Raw genomic sequence first — 18,532 nt, forward strand, 5'->3', positions numbered from 1 at the left:
TAGTATGGACTTAAAGATATTTATTTTATATTTTGGATTGTAATACAACACTACTTTCTTTTTGTTGCTCAAATTGTTCCCATTTGGGCTATTGGGAGCTCCTTCAGTTCACTTGGCTCCTATGTCCTTTGGACATCCTCCCATCATTGAGTTTTCTTTCTTTACTTTTCTTTTTTTTTTTTTTTTTTTGAGATGATGTCTCACTCTGTTGCCCAGGCTGGAGTCCAATGGCATGATCTGGGCTCACTGCAACCTCTGCCTCCCGGGTTCAAGCAATTCTCCTGCCTCAGCCTCCTGAGTAGCTGAGACTACAGGCATCCACCATCAAGCCCGGCTAATTTTTTGTATTTTTAGTAGAGACGGGGTTTCACCGTGTTAGCCAGGATGGTCTCGATCTCCTGACCTTGTGATCCGCCCACCTCAGCCTCCCAAAGTGGGATTACAGGTGTGAGTCACCATGCCCGGCCGCTTTCTTTCTTTTCTTGAGCACTTTCTTAGTTTCCGATAGTTCAAGATCCTCTAGTCCCATCTTGTATACGATGCTTTCAGTTCTAGAATCAGCCATTTCTTCAAGAAGCACTGGTTTCTCTTGTTGGAGAATCTTATTAGAAATTAAGGTCTGGGTGCAAGGTGTGCCACTGGAGTGTTGTTGCTTCCAGGTTCTCTCAACTGAAAAAGCAAATAAACATATGTGTGTATGGACCTGCTTGTGTACACATATCTCTACATATTTCTGTACATCACCATCTATATCTATATTAAACTTAACAGAAGTTTGTACCGATGTCTTCGACTTCAGTCTTTCACTGCATGCATGGCCCATTCTATCTTCCGCCCCTTGCTTATCTGTAAATTCCCACTCCAACAGTGAAAAACCTGATTCCCATTACTCACTGTCTGTTTATTTAATTGTTCAATTCCAGCACACATATATAGTGGTATCAGAATTATTCTTACCCTCGGGGAAACAATTTTATTAACTAGAGTACCGTGCTTGTGTCCAGTTCCTTTTGCTGTTAGTCTTACAGACTCCGTTCATTTCCAAAACTGCTTAGGTCAGCACCTTTCCCCCACATCTCCTTCAGTGAAGTTGCTCCATGCATGTATAATACAGTTAGATTCTCAGGTCACAGTCTGCATTCCATCTTGAGATCCCTCGACCTCCTAAGTGATTTCTAATAATTGCACACATTAGGTTTCATTTTTTATGCCATAAAGTTTTATGTGTTTTGACAAATGCATAATACCATGTATCCAACGTTACTGTGTCATATGCAAGAGTTTTAGTACCCTAAAAAGTCCACTGTGCTTCACCTACACAACTGTTCTCCCCAACCCCACTCTTTTGGGACCTCTGGCAACCACTGATTTGTTTATTATGTCTGTAGTTTTGCCTTTTTCAAAATGCCATATAAATGGGATCATAGAAGTATGTGGCCTTTGAAGTTTTTAATTGAGGTAAAGTATACATAACATACAATTTACCACCTTATCCACTTTTAAGTGAACAGTTCAGTGGCATAAAATACACTCACGTTATGGTGCAACTATCACCACCATCTATCTCAGAGCTGTTCACCTTACAAAATTTAAACCGTGTACCCATCAAACATGAACTCCCTATTCCCCCGCCCATGGCAACCACCATTTGGCTTTTTGTCCCTGTGGACCTGACTACTCAGATACTTTGTATAACTGGAATCATATAGTATTTGTTTTTTTGTGACTGGCTTATTTAACTTAACAAAATGTCTATAAGTTTTTTCCATATTTCAGTATGTGTTAGGATTTCCTTCCTTTTTAAGGTTGAATAGTATTCCACTGATATATTGATGCTACAAACACAGATGTACAAATATCTATTCGAGTCTCTGCTTTCAATCCTTTTAGTTATATATCCAGAAGTGAAGTTGCTGGGTCATATGGTAATTCTATGTTTCATTTTTGAGGAACTGCCATACTGTTTTCTATAGTGACTGCATTATTTTACATTCCTACCAGCAGTACACAAGAGTTCCAATTTCTTCATATTCCTGCCAACACTTGCTATTTTCTGTTTGTTTTTTCTAACAGTTTTTCTAATAGGTACAAAGTGATATCTCATTATGGTTTTGATTTACATTTCTCTAAAGATTAGTGAGTAATGTTAAACATCTTTTCCTGTGTTTACTGGCCGTTTACTTGTCTTTGGAGAAATATCTATTCAAGTTAGATGCTTTGCCTCTTTTTAAATTGGGTTGTTTGGGTTTCCTTGTTGTTGAACTGTAGGAGTTCATACTGTAGGAGTTCATATATAATAAATATATTCTGGATATTAGCCACTTATCAGATACATGATTTGCAAATATTTTCTCCCATTCTGTAGTTTGCCTTTTTATTCTGTTCATAGTGTCTTTTGATACATATAAGTTTTTAATTCTACTATAGTTCAATTTATTTTTTTTCTTTTGTTGCCTGTGCTTTTGGGTCATATCCAAGAAATCATTGCCAAATCTAGTGCCATGTAGCTCTTCCCTTATGTTTTCTTCTATGGATTTTATAGTTTTGGCTCTTACATTTGGAACTTTAATCTGTTTTAAGTTAATTTTTGTATTAGTATGTAGCTTTTTAGACTGGCTTCTTTCACTTAGGAATATACATTTAAGATTCATCCATGTCTTTCGTGACATGGTAGCTCATCCATTTTTGTTACTAAATAGTATTCCATTGCATGGATATACCACAGTTTGTTTATCCATTCACCTATTGAAGGACATCTTAGTTGTTGCAAGATTTTAGAGATTATTAAATAAAGCTGCTATATTTATTTTAGATGTTGATACAAACAGAAGTTTTCAAATCCGTTAGGTAAATATCCAGGAGTACAATAAACTGCTGGGTCAAGCAGTAAGATTATATTTAGCTTTGTGAGAAACTTCCAAACTGTCTTCCAAATAAATTATACCATTGGCACATTCATCAGCAAAAAATGGGAGTTCTTATTGCTCCACATTCTTACTAGCAATTGGTATTGTCAGTTTTTTGGATTTTAGCTCTTTTAATAGGTATTTATTGATATTAATTTTAAAAAAGTTACTGCTTTATTTGGATAGTTTGTATACCATAAAATCTACTCTCTTCACATATACAATTCAGTTTTTTTTTAAACTGAATTGTATATTCACAGAGTGGTACAACCATCATAGCTATCTACTTTTAAAACATTTTCATCATTCCAAAAAGAAAACTCTTCCCCATGAGCAGTCACTCTCCACTTTCCTCTCCCCTACCCTCTGGCAATCATGAATCTACTTTCTGTCTCCATATATTTGCCTATGCTGGAAATTTCCTGTGAATGTAGTCATATAATATGTGGCCTTTGTGTTGGGCTTCTTTCATTTAACATAATATTTCAAAGTTTGATCCATGTTGTAGCATGTAGCAGTACTTTATTTATTTATTTATTTTGAGACATGGGCCCTTTCTATGCTGCCCAAGCTAGCCTCTAACTCCTAGGCTCAGGCGATCCTCCCGCCTCAGCTTACCAGGTAGCTGGGATTAGCATGCTTGGCTTAGAACTTCATTTTTTAGCTGGATAATATTCCATTACAGATATATCACATTTTGTTTATCCATTAATTAAGTGATGAACATTTGGGTTGTTTCTACCTTTAGGCTATTATACATAATGCTGCTATGAACATTTGGACATATGTTTTCAGTTCTCTTGGCCATATACCTAGGAGTGGGATTGCTGGATCATATGGCAACTCTATTACCTTTCTGTGGAACAGTCAAGCTGTATTCCAAGATGTTACATTATTTTACATCCCCCCCACCCAGCAATGTCTGAGTATTCCAATTTCTCCACATCCTTACCAACTCTTGTTATTGTTCACCTTTTTGATTATAACCATTATAGTGTATGTAAAGTGGTATCTCGTTGTGGCTTGATTTGCATTTTCCTAGTGATTTTGATCATCTTTTCATATGCTTGTTGTCCAGTTGTATGCCTTTGTTTTTAAGAAATGTAGATTCAAATGCTTTGCTCATTTTTATGGTAGATTATTCGTCTTTATATCATTGAGTTTCAAGAATGTATATACTTTAGATACAAGTTCCTTATCAGATATATGATTTGCAAATATTTTCTCTCATACTGGATTGTCTTTTCACTTTCTTGATGGTGTCTTTTGTAGCATAAAAGTTTTCAATTTTGATGAAGCTCAATTTATATATTTTAGTTTTGTGGATTGTGCTTTTGTTGTCATATCTAAGGAAAGTATTGCTTAATTCATGGTCATAAAATTTTACTTGTGTTTCCTTTTAAGTGTTTTCTATTTTTACATCTCTTACATTCGAATCTGTGACACATTATTAGTTATTTTTTATGTAAGGAGTGATGTATCATTGTTTTATTTGCATTCACCTTCTGATAAATTATGCTGAGCATCTTTTCATACACTTATTTGTCTTCTGTATATCTTCTTTGGTATGGTGTCTTCAGATATTTTGCACATTTTTAAATTGGGTTCTTTTTCTTACATTTGGTTTTAAAGGCTCTTTGTATATTTTGAATATAACTCCTTTATCAGGTATGTGGTTTGCAAATATTTTCTTCTAGACTGTGGCTTGCCTTCTTATTCTCTTAAGTGTCTTTCACAAGCAGAATTTTAGAAAAATTAAGTCCAACTTACCAATATTTTTCATTGATTATGCTCTTGATGTAATATCAAAAAACTCACCATCAAATCCAAGGTCATGTAGATTTTCTCCTGTTTTCTTCTAGAACCTTTGTAGTTTTTCATTTTACATTCACGTCTATGATGCATTTTTAGTTAATTTTTGTGAAAGATAAAAAGGTCAGTGTCTAGGTTCATTTTTTCATATATGGATGTCCAATTGTTCCAGCACCATATGTTGAGAGACTGCGCTTTTTCTATTGAATTGACTTTACATCTTTGTTGAAAATCAGTTGATTATATTTATGTGGTTTATTTATGGGCTCCCTATTCTGTTCCATTGATCTGCATGTCTATTTTTTCACCAATACCATACTGTCTTGATTCATATATCCATTTTTTCATTCATGTATTTATCCATCCATTTATTTAGCATATCCTTAGTAAATATTTATTATCTTCCTCATGCAAGATATTGTGCTAATACTTCAGACAACAAAGATGTTTTAGACATGGTAGCTGACCTCTAAGAGCTGTCATACAGTCTGGGAGGTGGGATGGAGATGGTTGCAACTCCCACACAAATTGTGTAAAACAAATCACAAGGTGAAAATGCTATAGGAGATGCATAGAGTAAAAGACACTTTTCAAAGAGGCTGATATCAATACTGACTTAGAATAAGGAGATTTGAGCAGGGACTTGAAGGATGGATAGGATTTAAATAAGATTGGAAAGTGGCTGTGTCAAGGTGAAAAGAACAGAACAAGCCAAGTGAGGGGGGAAGTGCAAAGTCTAACAGCTGTGTCCAATTGAAGTATAATCAAAGCCTTGTGTGCAATTTTAAATTTTCTAGTAGCTGTACTAAAAAAGAAATCCTTGAAATTAATTTTATATTTTATGTAACGCAATATATCCAAAACACCGTCATTTCAGTGTGTAATCAATCTTAAAATCCTATATGTAGATTACATTTATCAATTTGGAGCAGCCACATTTCAAGTGCTGAATGCCACGTGTGAATTGTGGCTACTATATTGGACAACACAGGTCTTGGAGGCCAGTTGTGAGAAGAAAGGTTGCAAAGTAGGTTGGGTCCAAGTTATGCAGAACCTTGAATACTGGGCTGAAGAATTTGAACTTGATTCTGTAACTTACGGATAAACACTGACACTTTTGAGCAAGTAGTGACTCCTAGGTGCTCCTCCCCTGGACTGGCAGTCCTGGATAGGTACTCAATACAGGTGTACTGAATGATTGTTGAATTATCAGAGCAATACTTTGTAGAGATTAACTGTGGATATATTTAATGACATGGAATTGAAAACTTTGAGGACTTATGCCTAGGTTATTTGAATTTAAACCACATGATATAGAAGTTCTTGGTTGCTGTTTTTTAATTTTTGCTTTCTGCATGAGGAAAATTACTGCCTAAAATATTATTTAGTGTATGTATGACAATCTTTTGTAGTGTTGTATCCTTTGTTGTATTGAAGTGTGACTAGGACAACCTTATGTTTTTGGTAGCCTTTGGGGATGGGTCTGCTTACACATTTCAATTGCTTAAAAAAAAAAGAAGTGGTTTTCTTAAAGGAAATGGGTAGAATGATAGGTTGAAGATATGACTGTTGTATACATTTTTGTTTTTTTGAGAATGCTCTCTTGACAGTAAAGAGCTGGGAGCCCTTTAAAATGAGGGTGGTAATAGTGTTAAAATCCCAGTCCTTGGCTGTGAAGAAAACCAACCAGGTACTTGGATTTGTTGTGATTGTGGGTGCCACTCTTCTTGCCAAATCTATTCTCACAAACTAGTAGGGGATCAGAGCTGAAAAGCTTTCTGTTTTTTACTTATTTCTTTTTCACTTGAGATCATTTCCAAAGACTGATAGTGAAATATCTATCAAGAGGCCATGCTAAAATAACAAATGTAATATTTGCCTGCAGGGGGTATGTGTGGGTGTTACATTTTGGGCCTGTCAAACTTGACAGTGTCCTTTTAAGCTTTTCAAGAGAAAACCTTATAGTATTAGAGCCACATTTTCCATCAGCTGTGACATATTTCTGCATGTTAATCCTCAGATTTCTTTCTCCTTTCTCCTTTGTAATTAAGCTAACTTGGTTTTCAGAGGCTTGTGGTTTTAATATCTTTTTTTGTGGAATTGAAACAGCATCAATTTGGATTTTAACTCTTTTATTAGATTAGTTTTTAATTAGTTTTAACTCTTTTATTAGAATTAGTTATAGACGTACAGGCATACCTGGTAGCATTTATTAACACCAGCCTCAGAGAGCTTTGCAGGCTTTTCACTGCTGCTTTTGTTTCTTAGCACAGTAAATGGCTGTGAGCTGGGTCTTTGTTGCCAGGTCATGGTTGGAAAATATCAATTATTACAGAACATGTGTGCATTTGAGGAATTGTCTCCATGTAAATAAGAAGGGCATTTCATTGGAGTTGCTGCCGTTTTAAGCCACGGTCTCAACACACAGGCAAAAATTTTACTTTGGTCCCCTAGAAAATGGAAGGTAGTGGTGAGGGATGGGGGTGCCTTTTTCCAAGCAAAATTCTTGAGTAAATGCAAAGTCTGACATGATTTTATGAGAGGTTTCTTCTTTAATGATGTAGTATAAGAAAATAACACTACTTTAGTGCTTAGCAGTAATTAAATATAAATTGCTCCAGTCAAGAAGTGGTTTCAGAAGTAATATACCTAGTGGCTTTGGAACCAGAAGTTAGGTTTAAGTTCTGGCTCCACCAACAATTGCTGTGTGGCCAAAATCTTTCTAAGACTCATTTTTTTGTCTGTAAAATAGGTTAATAATAGCAACCTCGTAAGATATTTGTGAGGTTTAACACGGTAACTATATTCGGTTCCTAGCACATGCCTGAATGGTAGTTATTGGTATGAAACAGTGCTAAATGCTGTGTTTGGTTTGCAGGCCAATAGCTCACTTGCTCTATTCTTTTTGATTGTCTCTCTGGAATGACATAGAGTAAGGCAGTTGTGGTGACCAACTCTGTCTCCTGAGGTGGGATCATAAGTGGTGGATGACCCCAGCCGCTCCCTTTCTGGATCCACCACTGTGACTACACACCTTCCACTGCCTGTTCCTGTCAACAGCTGAGTGTGGTGGGAATCCTAAAGCAGGTCCATTCCAGCAAAAAAAACTCCTGTCCCATGGGCAACCTTGGCTGGAGGACTCCACGGTGACTTGGCTGAACCTTTCTTAAAACTGCTCAGTTGCTACCTCTTTCATCCCAATCCTCCTTCCTTCCACAGGTGCTGGAACTGTACAACTGTCTGCAAGTGCCCCTGCCTGCTCCAGCCCCCTCCCCTATTTGCTCTTGCAGGGCTAATCCCATCTTGGTACCTCCTTCTTGGCTGGCCTGAACTAATGCCGCAGTCCATGCCTGGTTTCCAGGCATTTGTAACTTAGAGCTCAATTTAATTAAAAATAATACTGCTTCCAAGGAATGCTCCAGAATTAAACCAATTTAGGTCCTAGAATGAAAAAGAGGATAGAATTGAGAGGACAATGCATCCAGTCAAAAAAGAGATGGAAAGACCTAGAAAATAAGGTGAGAAGAGCATTTCCCCTTGCCTCAATTGTAGTGCCTTTCCCATTTCCGTGGTGCTGAGCCCATGCCAGGTGCAGATGCCCTCAGCACGATGCCCTTCCCTCTGGCCTCTGTCTCCTGCACCACTTGTCTTCTTGCCCCTCACTTAGCCCTGAGTATAGCCCACTATCTAGTATTTCAAGTGAAACAGGTCCTTAGTTTGATTTGTGTTCCTTCAAGGATGGAAATGTATTTTTGCTATTTTCCTATCCCTCTTAGCTCCTATCACAGAGGGCTCTTGGTTTTATTTGCTGTTGGCTAAAAAGAGAAAATCAAGAGACCCATTAATGCTCAGGATACAAGAATGCTGGGCAACTCCCAGTTCATGCTCTCTGTTGGGAGGGGCTTTCTGGGTAGCCCCCGGACAACCTTCACGAACGGGAGGTTATCAGAAGTGTTACCACTTAAAATATCTATTTTTTGCCTTAGTTCATTAGAGTGTTCAGCTATTGATCCCACTCTGATTATGATGAATCTATTTGGCTTTATGCTGAAATATTTCCCTGTAGCGATGAATGATGTCACTTTCCCTTCTCAAGTTCTAAGGGGTAAATCTGTTCAGTAAAAATAATCAAGAAGATAAAGAGTCACAATTTGGAGAACAAGAGTGAGTTGTAAGAACAATGTTGCCCCAATGTTGGGGGCAACATTGGACCCACAGAAAGGGGAGATTACATTTAGTAGGGCTCTAGGGCATCCTCATTGGGGAGCACCACAGGCTCTGACCCCAAGGAGGGGAAAGAGAACGCATAGAGGCCTCTGGAGATCAAAGATGCTTCCAGGGGTGGCCGTTAGATTCACCACATGTCTGTCATGGAATTAGACATGCCGGCTACCCCACACTTTTATTCCCTGGCCTCCCTGCTGGCTCTCTGAGTTCAAACCAAAAGTGCATGGGGAGGGGGGCCATGGGGGGATTGAGGAGGGCTGATGGGAAAAGGCAGCAGAGAGCAGATTTAGACAGTTCTGTTCACAAGGTGCTTTCACTAAATTCTCCAGCAGAAATGGAAAAAAAAAAAAAAAGGCCTGGTGTTTCACACAATCCCTTTAGGGGCAATTTTATCTCGCTTTGCTAAAAATTGGATATGTCTTCCTAAGTCTTCTAGAGCCATTGGCTCAGCAAGAGTTTGAAGTGTTGTGGCAGCGACTCTGACTTTTTCCCTTGCCTCATCCTCTCCCACTCACCCCCTGCCTCTATTTTTCTCTTTTATGTGGATCTATCTGTGTCTAATTTAGATGGCAAGTTCCTTAGTACTGTATGTTATAGTGTCTAGCATACTGTGAGCACTTATAAATGTTAAATGATAATAATGATAATAGGAGAGCCCTAAAGGTGCCAGCTGCTTCATTTCACTTGAGAGAAGAGGGTTTTCACTGCAGACTGTAGTTTAAAAAATAAGGGCAGTGGGGAGGGAAGGCATATCGGCTTTCTTAGGCAAGGAGGAGGACAGAGAGAGGCAGATAGGAATTTGCCATATAAAAGAAAATGAATTAATAAAAAAAAATGGTCAGCTAAAACCTCAGGATGGAAACAAGAATTCAGTACCTGGTATTCAGTCTCATAACCCTTTCAAAAATTGCTTGTCCAAAGTTTCAAAGAAATATGAAACATTGATAACCTAAAAAGGATGCTGCGTCCACTTTCAGCCATGCAAAAGGAGAGCTGTGGGTAGTGAAAGACCCCCGACTCAGGCCTCAGAACCCCTAGATACTAGCCCTAATTCTGCAGCTAACTGGCTCTAGAACATTTGTTGAAATACTTAACTTTTCTATTATCTGCTTTCCCATTCACGAGTGAGGGGTGAGGCCAATGCAGGGGACAATCTACTAAATAATCTCAATGAGTTCTTCAAGTTCTGAAATTCTGTGTGCCACTGGCTAATAGCTGCATGATATCTACCATTTTCTTGAACACTTACTATGTGTTAATCTATCAGTTTCATACGTATTACCTCATTCAACATTCCACTCTGCAAAAAAAAAAAAAAAATTGTCACTATCTGTAGTTTACAGATGAGGATACAGAGGCAGAGAAAGAATAAGGACTTGCTCAAAATGCCACAACTGGTGGTAGAAGGAGGAGTCAACACCATCCTTGTCTGAATCTGAAGCCAGTGTGCTGACCCACTTTGCTACGCTCTACAATGGCCTCTCTTGAGCCAGCCCCAGGTGGCCCCATGAGTTGAGCCTGGAATGCACAATAATGTTCCGGATGTGCACAATATAACACTGTTCAAACTGGAAGAGTCTCAGAAATAACTTAGGGTAGCAACTGTGTTTAGAATATTCAGTTCAGCCATACCTTGCTCACAGAGGCTGAGATTACTTAAGAAGACACTGATTAAGCACTAGCTATTCCTATATATACCAACTCATTTAATCCTTACAGCAACCCTATCATGCTATCCTGAATTTTACAGGTGAGAATTCAGTGGCATTGAGGTTCACTGTATCCAGGCTAGATGAGGGTGGAGGTGGGCTTCAGTCCCATCTCTGGCTCCCTAGGATGGTGCTGCTCCATCACACTCTACTGCCTGCCCAGCAGCTCTCGTGGTTACTCACTGGCCTAGTTCTGTTTTGCTGCGGGTTGCAGGGAGGTATGGATGCAATGGAGACAGAACTCAGTCTCCCCCACTTTTCACCTTTTCCTGACCCACGTGCACCTTCAGGACTAAGACGTGCTAGACTCTCCTCTCTTCTCCTTGTGATGATGATGCAGGAGGCAGGGAAATTAGAACAAGCTACACTTTCCGCTGGTAGTTCTTGTTTGGAATAAAGGAAAACATTGACAGAAATTCTCCTTTCATGACGGAGGGTGGGAGCGAAACAACTCACATTTCCTCCTCCTTCCTTAGCCAAGTGCTTGCCTGCTCCACTCGGAGCAAAGGTGAGGACTTGGGGTTGCGGGAGCAGCAACAGCAGCCCATCCACTGGCTTTGCTGGTGGCCTTGTCACTCAGTCAGTGGGGAGAAGAGGCCTCATCTCTCCTTCGGAAGGGTACTGGGTGACCCGTTAGACCTCATACGTCCTTAATACAGAAAACAGCTGAGGAAGCTGGGTTTGGCTACCTTAAATTTCGATTTTGCAGCAACAATCAAAACAAACCCACTGTCACTGCCCTTGTTGTCCGCACAAGAAAAATGATAGATGCAGATTCCCAGAGAAAGACGTTTTGACAAATAACAGCCATAAATAGCTGAGGATGCTTCTCATTTTATGTTGCATCCTTCCCTTCCTTCCTTCCTAGTCTTCGTCATTTGAAAACTGTCATTAAGACGTGTTCATTCTTATGTGGTATTTCTACATATATTGATATCAAAAGAACTTGAAGTTATATTTTGCTACAAGAAAAAACAAGATGAAGTATAGCATATATGCGCACTTTTATTTTTTGTTACTAAAATATATATATGATATACATATATCACGTATATATATTTTTAAACAACAATGAAAACAAGGCTCTTTCTAGATGGGTACAGGGGACAGGCCCAGGGTAATGCATGCAGCCAGTGTGTGTAAAGCTGTCTACATAAAAACCATAGTAAGGAGCAATATCCCTTAGTTGTTCCCCACTGCTCCAGTTGCTTGGCCCAAGGAAACGCTTGTAAATTTAGACACACACATAAGTTTTTTAAGTATAAATATGTACATACACAGACTATTTCTGGAAGAATAAACAAAAATTGCTACAAATAGTTGTTTCTAGGAAGGGACACTGAAATCAGGGTCCTTTTCATTATAAGCCCTTTTTTGATATTTTTAAACTTTTAAACTTTTTATTATTTTATTTGTGAAAAGATGATTGTAAAAGGAAAATAATCCAAATAAATCATATTTACAGCAGAGAAAAATATATCAAATTTTCACAGTGAGGGCTTGGTACTGGTGTCATGAACCTCTCCTTGCCCTCTAGAAGCATATTAATAGAACGAACAAACTATATGGGAAGAAGAGAAAAAATAATATTTCACAATAACAACCTCTGCCCCCATCCTGCCCCTGCTGCTTCTGTGTGCAGGAAGAGGGTCTGCCGCTGGGCTCTCAGAGAGCAGACATCTCCCTTCCCTCCCTGGTCACCATAGGTTACAGATGCAGAGACAGGCAGAAACCCCACAGATGGGGAAATGGGGCCAGGATGCTAATTAGGATGCACATTGCAGAAGTGAATAGAGAGCCTGAAGATGTTTCAGGATGGGTCTATCCTGGTAGCACTTGACCCTCAGCCATTGGAGCTTGCCTTACTCGGTATAATTGTCCGCTGTACCCGACAAAGAAAATATGTTCCTTACACCATTCCAGCAAGTCAGCTGAGAATCCACATCGGTGACTGGCAAAAAAGAGAACCACATTCTGAAGAGAACTTGCACCAACTTGCCTGGGATTCTGCCTTGGGGGTCCACTTGGGAGTTATGCCAACAAATAGCAAGCAGTTTGCCACTTTTTAACCAAGCTCTATTTTCCTCTTTACGACAGCCTTGAAAGGGAAGGAGCCTGTCTTCTGGAGGAGGTCAGTGTAATTTATAGCTGGGGAATGGCTGCATCGTGCTCACTCCTTGAGCAGAAGGCCTTTGTCATCATTTGATGTGCACTTGATGCGCAAAGCCAGGGTGTGCCTTGAGAGGAGGCTACGGGCTGCTGCACGTGTGTGCATTTGTGTTGCTGCAGACCTCCCCATTTCCGGGCAGTGGCCCTGACCTGAGCCTGCTCCTTCTCTTCTTTATCCTGATGGAAATCCCAGAAACAAACATGATGTTTGGTTCTGGATAAAGATGCTGGGGAAGGCCAGGAAAGATAGAGTAGTGGGAAGGGAAAAAGCCAAGGCAGAATGAGAACATATAATAAACGGGAGCGTGTGGAATGTGCACCACCTGACTTAGCCAGATGCCTCTAGAGGGAAAGCAAAGGAAACAGCTAAATGCCTTTATATCCCCTGGAGTCTTCAAAGGAAGCCTGCAAAGCGGGGCATCTGAGTAATCCTCACTCGTTTAATATCTGACGCGTTTGCATCTGTGATGTGCACGGTAAATTAGAATTCCTGGTACAAGAACAGAATTTTAACTGCTAAAGTTAACACAGAGGTCAGGCAGCCTTATCATCACCTTATCTTATCTCATATGGTGTCGGGATGAATATTTGGGGACAGGGGTGTTGTGGATCTTTTCCTTCAGGAACATTAGGAAAAGCCATAAAGAAAATGATTCCAAACTCAGCAGCCTTCTGTGAGGAAGGAAGGTTAATTCTGCCATCAGCCCGTTCCATGGACCATCCAGATTCCCACTATTAAGACAGTTTAGCTGTAGTCTCAGTGCAGGTGCATTGTTACTTTAATTATTTAGGATGTAATTTCTGGGCCTAAGGAAGATGGATAGCACATCTTAAAGAAAACAGACTTCCCCTCCAAACACACCACTACTAAATTCTTCAGCAAAACAATGACAATGGATTAAATGGTATGTTCTTTAGATATTGTTAACTTTATTTGCAGAGGAAACATGAACATTTTGGCTGCCTGGGCTTTGGGGATCCACTCGCCATGGAGACATGAAGTCTAGATTTAATAAAATCATGCAGTGTGAAGTCCACACAATATTATTTTTCTTACACTAGGCTGAATGCTTTGATTATTATTCACTGTCAAGTTACCTTGGGAAATGAAATCTGTAATATTACCATGTTTATGCTGCTGGCCAAGGTCTTCTGAAATATGTCAGAAATTATTACCCCATTTTATAGATTAATAAAATGAGGCAAAAGCAATACATTATTGATGGAAAGAGGAAGAATTTTATACATATGTACGCATGTGCACACCCGTAAGTCTTCATCCTTAAAGTTAGAAAACAAAATAAACGTTATCATCTTACAAAAATAGACTTTTCTCCCAGACAAGTGTGAATCCAGCCTAGTCTGAAATTAATTGGAGGTCATGTCATGATGTTGAGTTTCATTTGTATATTATCTTTCTAATTTTATCTTTTGGAAAGGAATGATAGTTTCTTGTTTAGAATAAGGGAGAAAGTCTTGAATAGACTTAGAATATGACCCAGTGAAGAAATTTTAAGTATGCTAACATTCCAAGTGGACTACAATGCCATGTGATTGGGATATTGACTTGAACCAACTCTAAAATATTACTATTTTTGACAAAGATTTTCTTGTTTCTCTAGACCTGAATAAAACTGTCTCCTACTTAGCCAATACTGCATTCTAACTTATACAATATGCATCTCTGAAAATTAGCCAGAGAGGGTTTCTGCCATTGATCTCAGGATTTCTTTGGTGGAAGTCATGAATACTTTTCCGGATTATTGACCTCTGCTTTGTTCTGGATTCTTCTGAGCCAATGCAATTCCTATGTCTCTCACTAGAATAACTCATAGAAAGAGGAGAATGTGTTCCAGAAGTTATGGAGAGATTTCCCTCCAATAACCCACTGCTAGAAAATGGATTCGTTCTGCCTGAAAGCTAAACCCACACTAATTTTTACGTTCCTGCGACATGATATTGGGTCCTGGCTGAATAAGAAACTACACCAAGTCCTATACACCCTGAGGATATTCAGGTCCAGAGGTGTAGCTCAGAGGGGCCAGGCATTTGCCTTTGGTTTGTAAAGACTAGTAAGGAACATCTGTAAGTTTTTGCCCTTGTTCTATAGCAATGAGATTTTGTTTACTTTCAACGTGAAGGCCTAGCCTGCTGGCAATAGCATGAGTCAGGCAGATAACTCAGTAAACCTCTCAACCCCATCTAGTTGAAGAGGAAGAGAAGTTTCTCTAGAGTCTGGAGAAAGGCAGAGGAAAAGTACATCTGGCTATCTCTTACTTGTTTGAAGGCATTGGCCACCCTTCCCTCTCCCTCCTGTTGAGACCTAACTTGACCATTTCACTATTCATTATCACCTCCCACAGGGGTGGGCAAAAACAGGGGGAAAAGATGAAACTCAAATTCACCTATTGGAGGTGCTAATTCTTGACTTTCACACCATGCTAAATTGCTTGGATGCTATATTGGACAATTTACAGTTGTTTTTCTAAACCCTTTGGTCTATCAATGAAATGTTTATTCTATACTTTATCAAGGAACTGAAGCCCTTTCACCCAATTTACCTAGCAGTTCATGAGAGATTTTTGAAAATTACAGGACTTGCATACCATATTCCTATAACATAGCTAAAACTAACTCAATTTGTCTGTGTTAATGGAGGAAAAGGGTAAGATTGGAAATTTACATTAAAAAAACAACAGAAAAAACTTATACTTCTTGACCTTCTTCTCTCATCACAGCTCACATCAGAGTCACTATGGTGGAATAATAGACACTGGAGACTCCGAAGGGTGGGAGGGTGGGAGCGGGGTAGAGGATGAGAGATTACTTAACAGATTACTTAACGGGTACAATGTACACTATTACACCAAAAGCCCAGATTTCACCACCACACAGTGTATCCATGTATCAGAAATGTACTTGTGCCCCCTAAATTTATACAAGTAAACAATTTAAAAGAAACAAAAGGAGTCACTATTATGGTGAGAAAGATTAATTTAAGTTTAATGTTATATATTGTCTGGTGGAGACACCAGTAAGCAACCAAATGACCTAAAGCTAGGGAACGGGAGGGATACAGGGAAAGGGAGGGAGACAGAGAAGGAGCAAAGGGCTTGTAAAACTCACATGTTGGATCATTAACCCTTGAATAACTGAGAGTCGGTTTGAGATAATTTGTGCTGTGTTTGTCTAAAAAAAAGTCATGAAAATTGTTACAGTCAATTGCACTGAACAAGCAGCAATACACTTGCTAACAGGCTATGTCAATACTGTAATGTAATACTTAGCTGAGATAATAGGGAATGTAGACAACATGGATAATTGAAACACAAAAATAATTCCAAAACCTGATATAAACTGATAGTTGCAACTGCTTTTTCACAAAGCTGCTGACAGGCACCAATACTCATTCAGTTTTATCTCTGTTCTCATGTCTCTCCCAACACCTAGAGGGAAAGAAGTAGAAATAAACCACAAAATGACAAAAAGGAGGATCACAGAAGTAAAAAAGAAAAATGAGAAATGCAAGTATAGTTCATGTTATTGAGTAGCAGCACTAGAGACTGGACTGAATTTGCATCAATTCATGATGTCTCTGTGTAATTTGCTTTGATGGAACAAAAAACCACAGTAAGCCTCCTAGGAGTAATATTTTCCATCTCTTTAAGGTTTATAGGTTTGAACTCTCAAGACCTGTGCCCCTGAGGCTGTTTATTGTCCTGAATACTTGGCCTACAATTATGGTAAACCCAATTCCAAGACCTGGACTAACACACACACATTCACTTGGTGACACTTTACCTAATTTCGACAGATGCAGGTAAGAGTGAGCATCTTGATGGAAATTATGCCAAATTTGAAATTCACAGATCGTGTTTCAAATCCCAGAGCCACTCCTTGGATGTGGACTATTGGGAAAGTCACTTAAAAGTTTTGAGACTTAATTTACTTGTTTTTGAATTAGGATAATAATATCCCATAGGATTACTGTGAGGATAAAATGAGATGATATACGTAAATGTGCTTCATAAAATAGAAGTGTTATATAAGTCTTAGTAGATATTATAAAGAGGAAAAAAATTGCGTGGCACATCAAATGAACTGCTCCGATGGTGCTCAGATTCTAATGCTAAGTGTACATTTGGGAGATTTGACTAAAATGCAGATTCAGGGGCCCAGCCCCAGGGATTGTGATTCAGGAGGTCTGGAGGCGGACCCAAGCATCTTCATTCTTAACAACCGCCCCAGGTGATTACGGAGGTGATCTGTGGAGCACCTTTCAGAAACACTGCTGTGAGCCACCAGTTGACACATTCTGGCAAGAGTGACAGAAATAGGAGATGGGAAACTTCCCAAAACCATATGGAGCCAATGCTGCTCTCCTCCCATGCTCATAAATGATGCCCTACTATCGCATTCACGGCTGCAATCCACAGCTTGTCTCAGTCATCTCTTCTGTCTCTAGGCAGGCATTAGGAATCTATTATCCTTCGTTCTGTGATTTCCCCTCACCACTCCCTAGGGTCCTTTTGCCTTGTGCCAAGAACACACATTCTAGGTTCCTAAGTCTCTCCAGTAGGTACTTCACTCAGAATCTGTCTTTACTCTTAAATTTCTCAGTCTTCCTCCTGCTTCACATTTTGAAGTGAATGGCTTATATGTGCCATTGAAAGGCTGCTGATTGGGTCAAACAAATGATCAATTTCAGATACTTCTCATCGTTTCAAAGAGATAAATGAGACATTTGAACTATACGCAGGAGATTATTGGTAACTCTATAAATTAAGTGTCTGCACATTATGTCAACTGATTCCCGCCTTCTTTGTGACACCAGTCTTGCTTCCTGGGGAGGAGTCATGGCTCAGCCACAAGAACATGCCCAGCATATCAGAAGACCAGGGCAGGGAACTTGGCTCACTATATCTTAAACACTCACAAATCCTGTTCGGTGCCTGGTGCCATGAGGTCATCAGTGGCTGGGACTGTGCTCTCTAAAGGGAATCAGCCTTCAGTTACACCGGTGTAAACATGCTAGTTATAAAGATTTATGTGAAGCCTCGTAGGGGTCCTTTTACTGCAAGTGGTCCATATCCCGGATTTCCTCACAAAACAAAAGTGAAGTTCAGACTAGGTGTGGGCTACATTCTTAGTGCTTTAAAAAAAATCTGTGTGTTCATTAAGTTTTCTTTTTCCCTCTCTCTTTAGAGCTAAAAAATGTAATACAAAGTATTCATTTTACCTTTATTTTTCAAAATAGAATATAAATATTTTGGAAAATCTAATCCACACATTTTAATAATAATTCTAGAGAATTGGCTGTGTCAGATCCAATTCACCTTTTAAGGTAATTATTAGAGATATATACTTCTGTCTATTTCATCTTAATTAAAGATATTACAAGGGACTTGTTGGTTTATTAAAATAATTTAAATTATTCATCCCTAAATTAAAACCCCAGGAATAAAACCGTAATGATTTGGAGAACCCTCCAAAAAGTTCTGATATGAAATTATGAAAAGAAATATTTCAAAACCAGTTTTAAAAGGTGAGAAAAATATGTGAGGATAAAACATAACATTATCTACTCGCCTCTTTGTAAATGTCATAGAAAATTATCAAAGCATTTTCAAATACTTGGACCTAATAGTCCCCACTCCTGAAAAGGCCAGTAGAAGATTTGGAGGACACAATAGCTAATTTAAATATTTT

Source organism: Homo sapiens, chromosome 18 (assembly GCF_000001405.40).
Source record: "Homo sapiens chromosome 18, GRCh38.p14 Primary Assembly".
Taxonomy (NCBI): Eukaryota; Metazoa; Chordata; class Mammalia; order Primates; family Hominidae; genus Homo; species Homo sapiens.